The 17627-nt window shown below is 37.1% G+C and overlaps 1 protein-coding gene across 5 annotated transcripts in view, besides 1 other annotated feature; it reads right to left on the bottom strand.

Annotated features, from left to right (window-relative positions):
• The window catches only part of TRHDE (thyrotropin releasing hormone degrading enzyme), a 583493-nt gene that overhangs the window by 197172 nt on the left and 368694 nt on the right, over window positions 1–17627 (bottom strand). For all 5 annotated transcript variants that reach the window (XM_017019244.2, NM_013381.3, XM_017019243.3 and 2 more), the window contains 2 exons: window positions 3675–3829; window positions 407–520 (listed from right to left, as the gene is read on the bottom strand). In XM_017019244.2, coding sequence (XP_016874733.1) covers window positions 407–520; window positions 3675–3829 — 269 coding nt within the window. The remainder of the gene's footprint in view (window positions 1–406; window positions 521–3674; window positions 3830–17627) is intronic.
• Window positions 8151–8351: a silencer, noted in NCBI's record as "peak1828 fragment used in MPRA reporter construct". NCBI's record gives its function as "represses an SCP1 promoter by STARR-seq MPRAs in K562 erythroleukemia cells {active_cell/tissue: K562}" and the evidence as "EXISTENCE:reporter gene assay evidence [ECO:0000049][PMID:32103011]".

Below are 17627 nucleotides of genomic sequence, written 5' to 3'. Positions count from 1 at the left end.
ATCGTATCTTTTAGGTATTTTTTGTGTTTTATCTCATGAATGAGATGTCAAGTCCTCATTTTTCTGTTTGATATATTCTGTATATTTAAAATATTATTAATTACTCTTGACTTCTTTATTTTAAAGGACAATTTGCCTTTACTATAAAATACTACAATTGAAAATATTTCTATTCAGGTAAATTGTGGCATTTTGAAGCAAATGAATAGCAAATCAGATTATATAGTTCCTAATAAGTAAAAGATGACTCTTTAAGAATACTAACATTTCAATTTTTGGTTACACTTTATTGATACATTTTCATGCATCAGTTGGTATTTTTAGTCATCTCTAAGGATGGTATAAGCCTAATGTAACACTAGATCGGCCTTTTACTAAAAGTTTCAAATAATTCAAGTGCACTTACCATGTTCCAGCCAGGATAGAGGTAGTCTGTACCAACAAATTCAAAGTAGTGAGCAAACCCTTCCTTCAGCCACACGTCTTCCCACCACACAGGCGTCACAAGGTCACCAAACCACTGCAGTAACAAAATTAATGGTCATCAAATAAAATAAAATCTATCCCCAAACTATTTTATCTAAAATTACATGTATTAAACTATGATTATTATAACTGGAATTCATTCCCCAGTTGATTTTGTGATCTTAAAATGTGTTGTGGCAAAACTGTATTGATTTATCTGAGTACTTGGGTGACACTAGTTTTTTTATACATGCTTTCAGAGAAGAACAAAAAAGAATAATCAATGAACACAAAAGAATATTTGACTTGGAGAAGAAAGGGCTCAGGAGAGAAAAACTGATGAGAGCTGTCTTCAAATATTTGAAGACCTATTACGTAGAAGAGGAAAGGCTTGTTTCTTGTGACCCTACAAGGGACAAACCAGGACTAATGAACGGAAATTAGCATGGGTAAATGTCTGCTGAAAACGCAGAAAACCCTCTAACAGACTGAGATGGCCAAAGATGGGAAAATACTTCCTTGAAAGGTAGTGAGCAGTTCATCACAGGAGGTATGTAAGCATCACCCTCTAGTGGCAGAGGCTATTCAGAGAAGATATTTGCTGATTGATAAAACTAAGGGTTTTTGAGGTCCCTCACCCTTGACTCTCCATGATTCTATTATAATAAGGATTTAAACCAAAAAAAATTCTCTAAGATGCCTTCATGAAAAATAATGTAATTTTAACAGGTGTTTTGATTAGATCATGATGTATTATTCTGAAACTTGCTTAGTTCAGGAAAACGTTAAAGGAATTCTTTTCTTATTAAAAAGCAAAAAATACATTATATGCCAGGAGCTAGCCTAAAGACGAGATTCAGTGAAGAAAAGTTAGATAATGTTCCTCCTCATGCAGCTGACATTTTATTGTAGAGGTAGGGGGGATGAGGGGAGGTAGACGATAAAAAAATAAATAAGCAAATGAACAACGCAATTTCAGATCCTAACAAACTGCTACAGGAATGAGGGAGGAACTGCTTTACATTGTAAAAGCAAAAACATTCTCTCTAAGCAAGTGACATTTGAGCTCAGACTTCCATGATAAGGGACAGCCAGCCATGAGAAAGGCTTGGGAAGGAGAATTCCAGGGAGATGTAATTAACCCTTAATGTGAAGACTCTAAGTGGGAATGAGCTATTTAAGCAACAGAAGAAAGACCTGTGCGGCTGGAACATAGTGGACCAGGAGGAGGAAAGCATGAAAGAGTCCAGAAAGGCAGACAAGTACCAGATCATGTATGGCTTTAGGAGCCACATTAACAAGCTTGGCTGACAGTTTCAATAGTAACAGTAAAGTATCTGTTCTTCAAGAGGATCTCTCATTGAAATACAAATAAAAACAGCTCTCAGTATGTTGAGGACCACAAAGTAAATGTTTAACTTTTAATAATTTTTTAAATAAAAAATGCATGTTTCTCCTTTAACTTGAAATCCTATCTTCAGAATTGTGACAACAAATAGGTGGGCAGGAAAGGTAACATAGAAATTAATTGGTTAATGACAACGGAAATTATTTTAAGTGTTTCTCCTAGCTTCTGGTTCATTACTCCATAGTAAGTGGCCTACAAATACTAAGCTATAACAAGAAAGTAACTTAGAATATGAAACAAATGAAATCCAGTTCTCCGAACAATTACACATTATCGGTGCGCTTTCACTTCCACAGAACTATATATCTAACTTGTCATTTATAGGAGCATTCAAAAAGGAAACTGCTTTTGTCTCAAATAATTACATGATATTCGGTCAAAACCATCCTCTTTAGTACAGACTAGGAGCCCCAGTCATCTCTGCAAAGGATCCCCCTTAAGCCTGAGATGAGGAACACACCTCAGAGATCTGGTCAACAAGGCAGATAAAAACATCAAACATCTTACAGGTTCAGTGCAAAAAACTGACATTTAGGGGCTGGGCACGGTGGCTCACGCCTGTAATCCCAGCACTTTGGGAGGTCGAGGGGGGTGGATCACCTGAGGTCAGGAAGTTCGAGACCAGCCTAGCCAAGATGGTGAAACCCCGTCTCTACTAAAAATATAAAAAATTAGCTGGGCATGGTGTGGGCACCTGTAGTCCCAGATACTTGGGAAGCTGAGGCAGGAGAATCACTTGAACCTGGGAGGCGAAGACTGCAGTGAGCCAAGATTGCACCACTGCACTCCAGCCTGGGTGACAGAGTGAGACTCAGTCTCAAAAAAAAAAAAAAAAAAAAAAAAAAAAAAAGCTGACATTTACATAGAACGGTCGTCTGACCCGGATCACTTCATCATTAAGTCAGTATTCATTTATCAGCATTTAACTGTTTACCTTCTTTCACTGACGGCATTTTTCACATCACTCTTTCCTTAGTTTTTTCAGCTTCTAACAAGGTGTGGGTTTTATAATTTATTGAAATCACACTGTATCACAATGAGATATCTGGTGTTATAAGTTTAAAGCTCCATAAATACTGGTAACCAGGACAGGTATCACTTTCTATTGGCATGGACGTCTATTTTCAGTGATTTTTTTCCACTAAAATTAAGATTCACATAAGCACTGCGAAATCTAATACCTTCCATTCATTGTGAGAAAATGCATAAAATCAAAATGAAATTAATTTTATCTTAGCTTCACTACAAAGTTGGCAAATTTACATATGAATTTCTAAACATGCCAAGACAAAAAATATCAATCATTTGAGAACAAAGAGTCTATGGCTGAGTTAGTGAAAGACTTCCTAAGTGTCTATGTGGTGGGAAAAGGGGAATAACAAATTGATTTCAGTCAAAGCAAATTTTGACACATACACAAAACTCAGCTGCATCTTGCAGCGATGCAATAAATCATTGCCATCACTGCACTTACCATATATACACACTAATAATCACAAGAAAATAAAGCAAGGTTGATAACTGACCAGATAGGGGCTCCAAAGAGGCTGCTGGGTGGCAGTGCCATCTCACTCTTCAACTAAATGGAATGACAGTTGCTTACTCAATACGATCAGTGTGTTTGTTTTTGTTTATTCTATGATTGGAGAAAAATGACATATCTTCCAGAAAGAACTACACAGTGCTCCATATAAAATTAAAACTTCTTTGGGAGGATAATAATTTAGCTCTTAATGTAGGTATTCAAAATCATTTTCAATAGCTTTCACATTATACTTACACCTGATTCTTTTTCTCATACCTGGTGACATATCTCATGAACAATGACCATGGTGACATCCAGCAAATAAGAAATAGATGAAACACTGGGATCCAGCAGTATTCTTTGTTCCACAAAAATACTTAGTCCCCAGTTCTCCATAGCAGCATACGGATGCTTAGGCACAGCTAAAAGATCTAGAAATAAAATAAAACAGTTCCAAAGGCTTTAACAAAGACACCAGATTCTGAATTTATATCCTAAAAAGTGTCCAGAAATCCTAATTATAAGGAATACTTGATTTTACTTAGTGATTTTTTTGGCAAATTAAACTACTTGCCATTTTTACATGACAGCAGAAATATAGGCTATCACTGCAAATGCTGGTCATATCCATTCATCACAGTTCATTTTCAAGCCCAGTGCTATAGGTAGCTGGAAGTATCAGTGCCATTATTGATGGGCCCATCCTAATAAATTTCATAAGTCAAGGAAACCACATGCAGCAGGAACCTACAGAGGCAAAGGCGTTGTGCCTTCTAATGAAAATATATTTGACTCAATGCAGTAAATACTATATTCTTACATTTACCCCAATATTGTATAAGAGAAAACATTTTATATCTGTTTTAAAATGTGATGTTTTCTAATTGCTTAAATTCTAGTGTATTTTTTCAGTTATGTTAAAAGAAATATGTTACATGAAATATATCTTACAGGGAAAGCTCTGATAGTGGATATAATGGAAAAAAAATATTATTGAGGGGACCCACAGGCTCTGGTCTGGCTCTGTCACCAACTGGCTATGCGACATTAGTAAATCACTTAATTTCTTAAGACCACAATTCCCTCACCTATGAAATAAGGTCATTAGCCTTAATTATCTCTAAAATGCCTTCCAGCTCCAAATATCTATGATTAGATGACTCTAAGATCTGTGCTTATTTTAAAAGGTCATAGAGGTGTTATCAACTTCTGGTTATGGTGACACAAAGAGTTCATGCTTCGATGTACTCCCTCTGCTCCAGAGACGTAGTGATGATAAATCAAATATTAAAAGGGAAAACTAAAAAACATCTCCAGGCTTAAAAATAAACCTCTCCCTGGACCAGAAATGGTACAGAAATGCAAAGTGGTGATTGCATGTGAAGCAACAGGCCTGCTGGGCACTGGCTCCAGCAACAGGCAGTGGCGGCTGGGAATTGGCCCTGGCAGATCCTTCCAAAGCCAAAAGGACCTAAGCCACGCTGACTACTTAATGCCAGGGATTGAGGTAGGGCACACATGCTCATGAAAACAGGTTGAAAATAGCTAGCGCTCCTTGCTTCCTGGGAAAGTCAGTAAGTGGCAGGGTAGAAATTTGAACCCAGCAGCCTGGTTCCAGCACCTGTGCTTTCAATCACAATGCCAAGCATAGTGTTTACAGTCTCTGACCCAGAAGTTCTACTTCTTGATATAACCCTGGGTTAACTCCCTACGATGCAACAGAAAATTGTACAAGAATGTTCGCTATGGTATTGTTTGTACAGGTGAAAAGAGAAAATTAAGTGCTTTTAAGCAAAGGACAAAGAAACTGAGAAATATGTATATAAAGGAATATTACACAGCAATCAAAACAATTGATCTCACCACTAGATTCTAACACTGCATACATCACATGGACAATCTGAGAAAGACAATGTCGAGGAAATAAGTGAAGAGCAAAATGACCCTATAATAACATCTACTATTTAAAAACAAGTAGAATAACACCATGTGTTGTAGATGGTTACTTATACATGAACACGTGCATAGAGACAGTAATGGCAAGATGCACACACAAACACACACATATAACAATGATAAACATTAAAGTCAGGATCATGATTGCTTCATGGAAGAATGGAGGGGAAAAGGATGGAAGACAGTCACACAGTGAATTAAATAGTGATGTTTTTAATAATAATATTTCACTGTTAGTGGTATGGGTACTGATTATAATATTACTGATTCTTTCCCATATGCTTTAAATATTTCAAAATAAGAGAAAGAATAAAATAGTCAACAGTCTTATAATAAGGTTGATTTTTCTTTATTCCTGACTTTAAAAATTATCTTCTCAGCATTGGTTGTGGGTATTTGTTGTTGTTTTTGTTTGTTTGAGATGGAGTCTCGCTCTGTCGCCCAGGCCAGAGTGCAGTGGTGCGATCTCGGCTCACCGCAACCTCCGCCTCCCGGGTTCAAGCGATTCTGTTGCCTCAGCCTCCCAAGTAGCTGGGATTACAGGCACGCGCCACCATGCCCAGCTAATTTTTGTATTTTTAGTAGAGATGGGGTTTCACCATATTGTCCAGGCTGGTCTTGAACTTCTGACCTCGTGATCCACCCACCTCGGCCTCCCAAAGTGCTAGGATTACAGGCCTGAGCCATCGCGCCTGGCTGGTTGTGGTCTTAAGTCTGAAATATATATTAAAATAAGTCAAATATGACCCCATCTTCCGCTACATTTTAGACTCAGCATAAGTGCATAACAGCTATAACACGAAAAAAAGGGAAATATGAGCAAATAGTTGAAGAATTAAGAGTGCTAAGAGAGAGAAAAAATAAATCTGATTGGGGAGGTTTTCAAAGAGATGGTACTTAAGTTGGACTTCAAAAGGTAAATAGGGAATTGAACAATGAGAACACATGGACACAGGAAGGGGAACATCGTATACCAGGGCCTGTTGTGGGGTGGGGGGAGTGGGGAGGGATAGCATTAGGAGATATACCTAATGTTAAATGACAAGTTAATGTGTGCAGCACACCAACATGGCACATGTATACATATGTAACAAACCTGCACGTTGTGCACATGTACCCTAAAACTTAAAGTATAATAATAAAAAAAGGTAAATAGGATATCAACGGGCAGAAACAGGTAATCTATGCATTCATATATACAACAAATACTCATTGAGCATCTCCTTTGCTCAATATAGACGCAGTTTTGCCTTGTTCTGCAAGCTCCTTGCTCTCTATCGTCATGGTGCTTACATGCATATGTGAGCGTGTGCAGGACGTCAATTAACAAGTAATAAATGAATGAGAAAATTAGTAAATGATAAATGCTACAAAGAAAATGTAACAGAGTAAGATAGTGATTGATCGATGGGGTGGGTGTGGTGTGGTCAAGGCAGCCCTCTCTAAGGTAGTCACATTTCATCTGAGATGTGAATAATGGTAGAGGCTAGCTTGTTTGAAATCAGAAGTGCATTCTAAGAGACGACAACAAATGCAAAGGCCCTAAGGTGAAAATGAGAGAAATATGCTTGACAAAGAAGGGTGATGTGGCTGAAATACATAAAGAGGAGGAACATAGATCAGAGAACTGGTATGAATTGTAAGTTCATAACCAATAGATATTATTTTATATAAGATTTTACCTTAACACCTTGTCTAAATATGAACAAACCAGATAACAGGACCACAGTGTGTCAACTTTGTCACCGGTAGATGGCAACAACAGTAGCAGGCCTGGTGTCATTTACTTGTAGCAACATGTGACTAAGGAACAAGCCTTCTGACCCAAGCCTGTGACAAAGTAGAGGCAATTCCATAAGCTGTAGTCCTCCAGAAGCCAAGAGTAGTCGGTCGTCAAGGCTAAGCTAGCATATCAAGCCACACATTGGGATTTGGATTGGCTCAAATAGCACAGGAAGAAGACTCTATACATATGAACCAGGTGCAGTCTAGGAGTTTGGAATAAAGAGGAAGGTAGACTTGGGGGCAGTTGTCAGATAGCAAAAGCCTGACTAACAGCATAAGCAGATATGGTGTGGAAACAATTGGAGGCCGGTGATAAAGATATCAGGCACTGGTGACCTAAGCAGGCAGCTGGTTACATACTGGTATCGAAAGGTATGAGGTCACAAAAGTCAGGCCTGGGTAACAAGATTACAGATCAACCAAACAAGGACTCTTCAGCAAATGGAGCCAGAGTCAAATTAAAATCATTAAAGAATAGAGTAAAACAGATCAGTAGTAGAGGACAGCTTCTTATATACACACAGGTTTTATAATAAATATGAGGAACCATGATTATAAACGGCAGAGTAGGGAAAAAATAAAGAAAACATTGTATGCTACTAACCTTATAACCGTGTATTGAAGCAACTTAGATTTTGTTGAAGCAACTATGGAGAAGTATTTTTAATTGTGGCTCTGTTCTATGTCTTCACAACTTAAGGAATCTTATATGATAGGTTTATAATTTAAGAGCACCTATATCAAGCATATATCTACACAAACATTTGTACACAAATATTCATAAAAGCCTATTTCCAGTAGCTAAAAACTAGGAACAACTCAAATGTCCATCAATAGGTGAATAAATAAAGTATGGTATATCCATGCAACAAAATACTACTCAGCAATAAAAAGAAATGAACTATGGTTACAGTCCACAACATGGTTGAATCTCAAAACAGTTATATGGAATAAAAAAAGAAGAAAGCTATATCTACTCTATGATTCATGCCATTTATGTAAAATTCCAGAAAATGCAAACTAATCTATAGAGTCAGAAAGCACATCAGAGGTTGCCTGGGGACAAAGATGGGAGGAGTTAGAAGATAGCGATGGGAAACTTTTGGGAGTGATGAATATGTTCATTATGGTGATAATTTCCTGTGTGTATACATGTGTTAAGGCACCAAACTGCATACTTTAAATATGGACAGCTTACTGTACATTACTGTACCTGAATGAAGCTAATAAAAAAAAAAGGAAGCTCAGTAACAAAAATATTCTTTTGTTTATTTAAGGCAGATAACATTAATTCACAACGAATTAAATTATTTTAATTTTTGCAAAAGAAATTTGTTATGAGACTATACCCATTAAAATGTATACCCATAACTCCTTCATATGCCTTGAAAACAGAAGAAAATTCAAATGTTTCAGAATCTAATTTACTTGGAAATTCAAAGAAAATGCTTGATAAAATTATGCATAGTAGTCTGCTTCCAATTAAATAGTATAGTACAAAAAACTATAGACAGATATGAAATAATTCATATAATACTAGTGAATGTGATAACATAAATTAACAAAAATCTGACTTGCTCTACTTGTTTGCCTCCTACTCACCCTCAATGCACTATAATTTGCCTTCTATTCTTAACACTATCCTGAAACAGCTCTGAATAACTAAATTCACAACTCTCATGGACACTTCCCAGAATTCATCATTTTTTTGGCATTGCTGAGAATTATCATATGGTAGGCTAGTGTCTATAATAACAGAATATCCATGTTTTTCCTCCACTTCTCAGATTAGCCCTTCTTCTTGTTTTGTTTTGCTTTGTTTTTCATTTTCTTGCCACTTTCTGACTTTTGAAAATCAAAGTTTCCAGGATTTACATCTGTGGCTTCTGTGTTGTTTTGTTTTACCAACTGCTATGGTTTAAATGTGTCCCCTCCAAAATTCATGTTGAAATGTAATCTCTGTGGGTCTCTTCTGCCATGTGAAGATACAACATTCATCCCCTCCGGAGAATGCAGCAACAAAGAGTCATCTTGAAAGCAGAGAGCAGACCCTACCAGACATCAAACCTGCCTGTGCCGTATCTTGGACTTCTCAGCCTCCAGAATTATAAGAAATAAATTTCTATTATCTGTAAATTACCCAGTCTCAGGTATTTGGTTATAGCAGCATAAATGGACTAAGACACTTACTCTACTACTTATTTTCTTTGAGTGTTTTCATCCACTTTAACATCATCCATCACCACCCACATGCCCAGACTGCTCTCTTTGAGCACTAGATGAAAATATCTAAGCATCTTGTAGTAGGCTGCCATTTGATAGGCCCCCAGTGTGCTGGGCCTCCTTGTGTAAGCCTCTCCCCTTTTAATCTGGCTTAATAGTACATACTAAAGGAAAGTTAAGAAAGCCTTGCAGCTTTTTGTTTTGCCCTCTAGGGAAAGTCAGCCCTCATAAAATAAAATGGCCCATTGCCCTGAGAACATCATGCAGGGAGAAACCTCACAACTTTGCAAAAGGTCCAAAGAATCACTAAATGAGGTCTGTTCAATAGTACATACTAACTGAAATCCAGTCTCCAGCATTAGTGAAAGTGTTGCCTTATTACCCTTCTGATGAATAATCTTGTAAGCTAGAAATGCACTCTAATATATTCCAAATTATTAAATAATCACTAACAAAAATGTGTGCAATAACAGTTCTCTCCTGTCTGCCACAGTCAGATTCTTATCTCACAGGTCATGATAATCAGTCCAGAATAAGATGCTTTGCCCCAGCTTTGAGCTCCTCTAAGCCCTGGCTCCAGTGTGAAAGAGTCTGGTATCCTCCAGCTCAAATATTCTCTGCTACATGATCAAGCTCACACTCCACACTCTAAGTGTGAGAAGAGTACAGGAGATGCTCTCTGATATGTGACCTCAGATAGTTATCAATTGTCCTACTTTCTCTCATACTTTTCCTTTTGCCTAAGCCATACTACCTACAGTACTGACTTTTCCTGGCAATATTTCTTCACCAGCCAATTTCTGCCTTCCAGTTGTCCACACTCAAACTTATCAGTTCATTCTAGATTTGTCATCCATTTATTTAGCTAATTTGAGATTCATAAGTCTATAATAAGATCAGAACCTGAATGCCCCAGACTTCAACCTTAATCCTGAGGGAAAAGGGATAGAAAGTTCTGGAAGACAAGAGTTTTAATGCTGAAGAAATAAATATCCTAGCAATTCAGGAGCATCACCTCAGCAGCCAATCCTTCCATGCCTAGGCAGAAAACAGACCTGCTGCTGAGCCCCTAGTGTAGTCAGGGGATGTGGCATTTTCCTGAAAAGCAGCACTGGTCTCTGATTGAATGTAAGATATTTTTGCTCAGAAAATCTAAAGTGCCATACATTAATATTAGAAGTTGTGGTTTCAGAACAGAATAAATTCTATAAATTTGTTCTTTCTGGTTTTCCTTGTACACATAAGGTACTTCTTTGAATTAGGCATTCATTCACTCACTCAGTAAAGTTTGTTGAGTCCTTACTCTGTTCCAGCAGAGAAGGAGACTAACAAAGATGCTGCTGTGTCCAAGCTCATGTTCCAGGTTTGAGGGGTTGGGGAGTGCAGGTAGGGCAGGGGGCCAAATAATACACAAATAGACAAATAGATAATATGAGACTGCAATTGGGGCTATCATGAAAATTACACATGGTATGTTAAAGAATAACAGAGTTGGAGGCAGAATACATTTGATCAAATGACCAGGAAAAGTTTAAGAAAATTAGTATCTAAGCGAAACATCAACCCAATCCAAGACAGGGCAGTTTTAATCTTAACTGTTCATTTGCAGTGCTAGCATAGTACCAAGCATATGGCTAATATTCAAAAGGTAACTGAAAAATAAATGAATAGTTACCTTTGATGGCAAGTCATGCTAAATATAGCTTACAACTAGTTTTGCCTGCAATCATAAGCCACACAGATGTATAACCACTACCAACACCACCCAGGAAAGGGCCTTAGGTTCAACAGCTCTGGTCATGAATTCCATGGTTTCACTCTGCCATGTAAAGAGCTCTGCGGCTCTTCTAAATCACCTCTCTACTCCTATGCAAAGTATCACTCAGATGCATTCCCTTCCGATTCACAGATGGGCTCTATGCCTATTGATTCTTCCAATCCAAAACCATCTTGTGCTCAAATCTGCAAGCTTCTGACCTAACTCTTACTTCTGTTTCCTGCCCCACTTCACTCTTTGAATTTCACCTTCAATGTTGTCACCAGGCTGTACTCTAGCAGCATCTCAATCACAATCCAAGTTATTTTTCCAGCTCTGCTTCTCAGATCTTCTTGGCAGAAGGCAATGGATATAATGTTTAAAGCTGCAAGTTGTGGAGTCCATACTGGGTTTGGGATCCAAACCCAAATTGTTTAGCCTCTCTCAGCTTTCACTTCCTTATTGATAACATGGGGATATTAACAGTACCCGCTTTGCAAGTTGCTGTGAAGATTAAATGAGTTATACCATGTAAAGCACTTAGTCCTACATAGTAAGCATGATAAATGTTATCACTATTTGAGATCTTTCCAGTTCTTCCCCACCTTGGGGAATTGAATGCATCATAGGCCTCAGGAAAGAGAGGAGGAGGAGTCTTATTTTCAAACAAAGATGAAGTTTAGGTTAATATGTTCCATTATAGATTTTAATTTTCAAATTGAAATTTTATATTATGATTTAAAACAACATAGATCCTACTTAAGATTGAGCCAACAAACATTATAGGATATGCTCATATTATCATCCAGGGACACTAATTTTAAAGGCATAGTAGGCTAAAAAAAAAAAAAAGTTGTATTTTGATTATACCATGACTGGTTGTTGCTCAAGACTGTCTATATGCATTTGTGTTTAAGAATAAAAAATGGAACATCTTGCTCTGAAGATTAATATATGGGGCTAGTAAAAATATAAACTACATTTAAAACAGTAATATTAATAAGATAAAATTTATAGAAGTAACCCATAACTAATATTTATAAAATGAGAACTACCATTCTTTTTCTTCCTTTCAAGGGTATATTCTCAAGATTTTTACTCATAAACCAGTTAGGTACTGAATGACTCTTTTTCAGTTTGTTTGACAAAGAAGTTAAACTTTGCTATCCTTAGATACATTCCTACCAAATTTAGGAGTCAGTCCTTCAAAGCTTTAAAGCAGAATACATTTTTCTCCTGATGGTCTTTTTATCTGGGCATCATTCATTTAAAGCAGACTAGTTTCAGCTACACATTGTGGGTTGTAACAGAACTTTCATCAGCACTACTTGTATTCAGAAGCTTAGCTTACAAGTTCTCGAACTTCTAGCATTCTCCTGAATTAGCATTAGGCCATAATAGGCAGCCAGTGTTTTTGCTGATCCTCCTGCCACACATTCAAAAGATTTTTTTTTCATTTCAGCAATCAATTTTCCTCGACATTTACTGATTACTGTCAATTGCAATGGAAGAACACTTTACATGTGTTGCTTGATTTCCTTTTTCCCTGAAAAAGGCTTTCTATGCCAAAGGATAGATCCCATATGCACAGGGAACATTTGTCAGTTTCTCACCCCTTTAATTTTTAAAATTAGTGCTACTTTGATTCTCACCATCATATTGTGCATTTTTTGTTGTGCGTCTAGTACTTACAAAATCAGTCTTTGCTTTAAGAAACATGACTAGGTATGAACACAGAAAAGACATTAAATGACCCCTTCTTGCCATCCACTGGTGACAGCCCAAGTTGACTAATACTTGTTATATAACAAAGATTTGCTGTTATCTCAGAGAATACAGGTTGAATGTAAGGTTCCTTCCTATTAAGGTTTCATTTACAGTGTATTTTCATTTATTCCAAAAATACTTGCTCATTACCTAATACTGGCCAGACTGATTTAGGCTGGGCATATAAACACTGAACAATAAAGACAAAGTCCCCTTAAATTTTCATGGAGCTTAAAAACCAATGGGGGTTACAAACAAGTCAAAAAGCATACATATTATAGACACACATGATGGCAATTACAATGCAGTGCATATGCTACAATGAGTGCACAGTATAATGGCTACAGCATAGAGCAGGGATTAAGAACATGAACTCAATTCTGCCCCAGCACATTACTGATCCTCTCTACCCATCATTTTCCTCACCTGTAAAATGAAGATGAATATAATTGCAACTATTTTGCAGGACTACTGTGAGTGTTATTGTTGAAACACAATTCTCAAGGGTCTCTTACATTTCTGTATATCTTATGAGAACAGGCACTGACTGCTTTTTGTTCCACACTTTCTTTTTAAGGACGGTTTTGTATAGCAAAAACGGAGATAGTAGGCTCTCCAGAGCAAAAGGCATACATACTATCACTTATAAAAGAACCACATTCCCTAGGGTCAGGTATATTCACCTATCATATAATCCACTGCATGTGCAGGTATCAGCTGGACCTGTGTGTGTCACTCTTGGGAATTAGGGCTCTGGGAACTGGCACAAAAAATTGATGATACCAGCAGGACACAGTGGCTCATACCTGTAATCCCAGTACATTGAGAAGCCGAGGCAACAGGATCACCTGATCCCAGGAGTTCAAGACCAGTCTGGGCAACATAGTCAGACATTGTTCCTGCTAAAATAACAAATTAGCTGGGCATGGTGGTGCAAACCTGTAGTCCTAGCTACTTTGGAGGCTGAGGTTGGAGGATTGCTTGAGCCCAGGAGGTCGAGGCTGCAGTGAGCTATAATGTCACTGCACTCCAGCCTAGGCAACAGAGTGAGACCCTGTCTCTAAAAGAATAAAAAAAATGCTTATACTCTAGCTACTACTGTAGCTAGAACAATAATGTCTTTTATTTCTAATCCAAGAGTTTCATGACTTCTGCCAGCATTCACGAAACAGTGGTGGTCTGACTAGTTGATATTACAAGTAGGATAAGGTAAAACCTTAGACTCCTAACAGTTCTTGACAACTGTATGAATTAATATATGTGGCGTGCTTAGAACAGTACCTAGCAAGTGTTAAGTTATTAATAACTGTTAGCTATTGTGGATAAAAGATGTCCAGGTCCTCATTCCTGGAACCTGTGACTATATTAGGTTACTTGGCAAAGGGGAATTAAGGTTGCACACAGAATTAAGATTGCTAATCAGCTGAAATTAAGATGGGAAGAATATCCTGGATTATACAGGTGGACCCAATATCATCACAAGTGTCTTAAAAAGTGAAAGCAGGAGATGGGAGGAGAGTCAGTGTCAGATTGAGGAAATGTTAGAAAGATTCTACCAGGCATTGCTGGCTTTGAAGATAGAAGGGGACCATGAGCTGAGGAGTGCAGTCTCTAAAAACTGGAATAGTTCAGAAAATGTAGTGATTTTCCCCTAAAGCCTCCAGTGAGAGTAGTGTCAGACTTTCAGCCTACATAATTGTAAGATAATAAATTTGTGTTGTGTTAAGCCACTAATTAAGTGCTAATTTATTATCGCATCAATAGGGAACTAATACAGTTATTATCATCATCATCATTACCTTTATAATTATTACCATTATTCTGTAAAAGAAGTCTCTAATATTGACATAAGAATGAGAAAAAGCTTCCTTAGAGAATGCCAATTATGGGATCTGTTGAGTCAATAGTGGGTAGCCAGAGGGGAAGTGTATTTCAGGTTAAGGAGGTAGCATAGGCAAAGAAGAGACAACACAATACTTTCAGTAATCAAAAAAACTAGATCAATATGACTGAAGCACACACTGACAAATCCTGCTTTGGACATACTGAGTTTGAGTCACCCCTAGAACATCCAAATAGAGATATCTACTAAGAGGCTGAATGTAGAAGTCTGATGCATTGGGGAGAGGCTGGGGTCGGGGAAAAGATTTAAGAAGTCATCAACACATAGATGGGAGGAGACCATGACCAATGCTGAGTAGAGAAGAGGGCTAAGACAGACGTCTGAGGAGCACTGAGATTTAAGAGACAGGCAGAGGACGAAGGCAACTGGGGTGGGGCCCACAAAGCATACTGACAAGATGCTGTCATGAAAAGGGGAAAGAAAATCAGGAAAGTGTGACATCGCATCATTTAAGAGTAGTGATCCATCCACAGGGGAGGGAAGAGTTGACAGTGTCTATGAATATCTTAGGTATATTTATAAAACACCGGCAATATATAATCAAGTAGTTGAATTTTAATTAACGGTTTCAAAGAATACTAGTTGCTCATTCAATATTGTTTTCAGCAGGTTTCCCAAATAAATTGTAAAATATTTTACACAGATATAACACCAAATCGAATCACATATATTAGCACCATCACCTGAAGGGAGGGTAAAACCAATGCTCTGTTAGGGGTTCTCATAATCGGCTCTTTAATGAGTGTCAGTTGCTGAGTGGGCCCATCCCACAGCATGGAACTCAGGAGTCTCTCCTATTTTCAAAGTCTGAGGTAGCTGGAAATCAATTTAGCGGTTTGAATAGCTCTTTGACACTCTTTAATTGACAGATTCACATTTCCAGTAGAAGGGAGTATGAAAACAATACTATTTATAAATGACCATTCCTAACTCTTGAAATTTGCAGTTGTTAGTAAAACATATTTCCAAATTCTTATGTACTTTAGACAGTGTGAGTATGAAGTGGTTACCTTTAAAAGAAATTATTTATGTAGGCTTGGCAAAGTGAAAACAAAGATGTATTGTGCCTTAAGGCCAGTTCCTCTTAGCATAAGCTGTACTAGTAGTTCACACAACATTCAATAAAAAATGCAAACATATAATCCAAAGGAACCAAATGTTTGGTTCTTAGTCTAAAACTGTATAGCATTAATTTCAAACAAAATCAAATACTTGTTGAAGCCCCTGAGGAAAAAAAAAACGCCGATACCCAAAGGTTGCTTAATTTTTTAAATCACTTATTGCAGTGCGTAGTATTACTTAATATTAACTGGCATCTAAACAATGAATGGATTATCAGAGAGCTAGTTGTATAAACAGGAGATACTGAAATTCACTGTGAATTTTATAGATTCCTAGGAACAACTGAGAGTGCTTGGCGTAATGAGGGCAGAGAGAAAAAAGAAGAACAGATAATTTAAAAACAGCACAATTACAGAAATGGAAAATATGATGACATAGTGTTACTTTACTACATTTTAACACTAAGATGAAGCTAATTTGCCTTTAAGGGAACTAAAAATAGAACCTTATCAATTTAGTCCTCGGCCTGCATACTACTAAAATACTTTATCTTTTTTATATTCCAAACCTATAGACTTTCCGTTCGAAATACCATCAAGTCATTCAATGTCATGAAGAAAAATGAATGCCATGCCCCATTCAGGTTGAATTATGTATCAGCTGGGAGGCATTGATCAAATTATGAACCATGTCTTTCATTACTGAAGGTACCTAATGCTTTGTTATAAATATCTTCTTGAGAGTTTAAAGAAAGTGGCTTTCCCAAATTTTTTCACAGAAGAGTTTCTGAGAGCTTCTATTCAATGATTTTTTTCAAAACCCATTACTAGTGTTCCAAATATTCCCTAGTTCAATTTACATTAGATCAAGAAATGAAATACAGAAAGAACTAATAATGAGGCAGATATTGAACTGAATCCTTTACCTCTCCAAGCTCCAGTATCTAATGTGAATCACTAAGTTATACTCCTAAATTGTATTTTATAAGGAGGAAAACACTTTGCACCCATAACGGGAAAATGCTGAGAAGAGATTTTTTTTTTGTACTAATCATAAAAATGTTTCTCCTAATGTAAATACTCAGGGAATTGACATAATAGAAAATTGCCAGGAGCCATTTTCCTACCACCACAGTTAATAGAGCATGAGGGTTCTTTAGCTCAAAACGACATGTAACTGATCACTACACTTGCAACAGGAGACTACCATGAAGAAAATGATAACCTTCCTCATTATTTGTTTTTTCTTGTCCTCCTAATATACTATGCAAATATTTTATTTGTGTCCTTGGAATCTGTTTAAATAGTTATTAAAATGAAAGCCAGTACTCTAATATACACATAACATGAAGTGCTATATTAAAATACAGAGGTCCAAGAGCACAAAAGTGTCTGCTCATGTTTTGCAGTAGCATTTGGAATATTCCAGTCCTGGATGGGGATGGAACCCTTACAGCCTGGCCACCTTTCCACCCTTCTAGCCTGACCAGGGAATGCCCCAAAATGAATGTGATGAAAGCTAACCAACTCAAGGAACATATGTCCAACTCTCTGAGTCTCTGTGTGTGTGTGTGTGTGTGTGTGTGTGTGTGTGTGTGTGTGTGTGTGTAATTACATATTATATTTATATAATATTTCTATTATATAAATATACATACTGAGTATATATGAGTGTATATACTGCATAATATTACATATATACACATCAGAAATCAAAATATATGTGTGTGAGTATACACATATATGTATAGGAAATATATATGTAGGATTAAGATTAG

Source organism: Homo sapiens, chromosome 12 (genome assembly GCF_000001405.40).
Source record: "Homo sapiens chromosome 12, GRCh38.p14 Primary Assembly".
NCBI lineage: Eukaryota > Metazoa > Chordata > Mammalia > Primates > Hominidae > Homo > Homo sapiens.
Note: the sequence above shows the minus strand (reverse complement) of the source record. Positions and strands in the feature narration are given on the sequence as shown.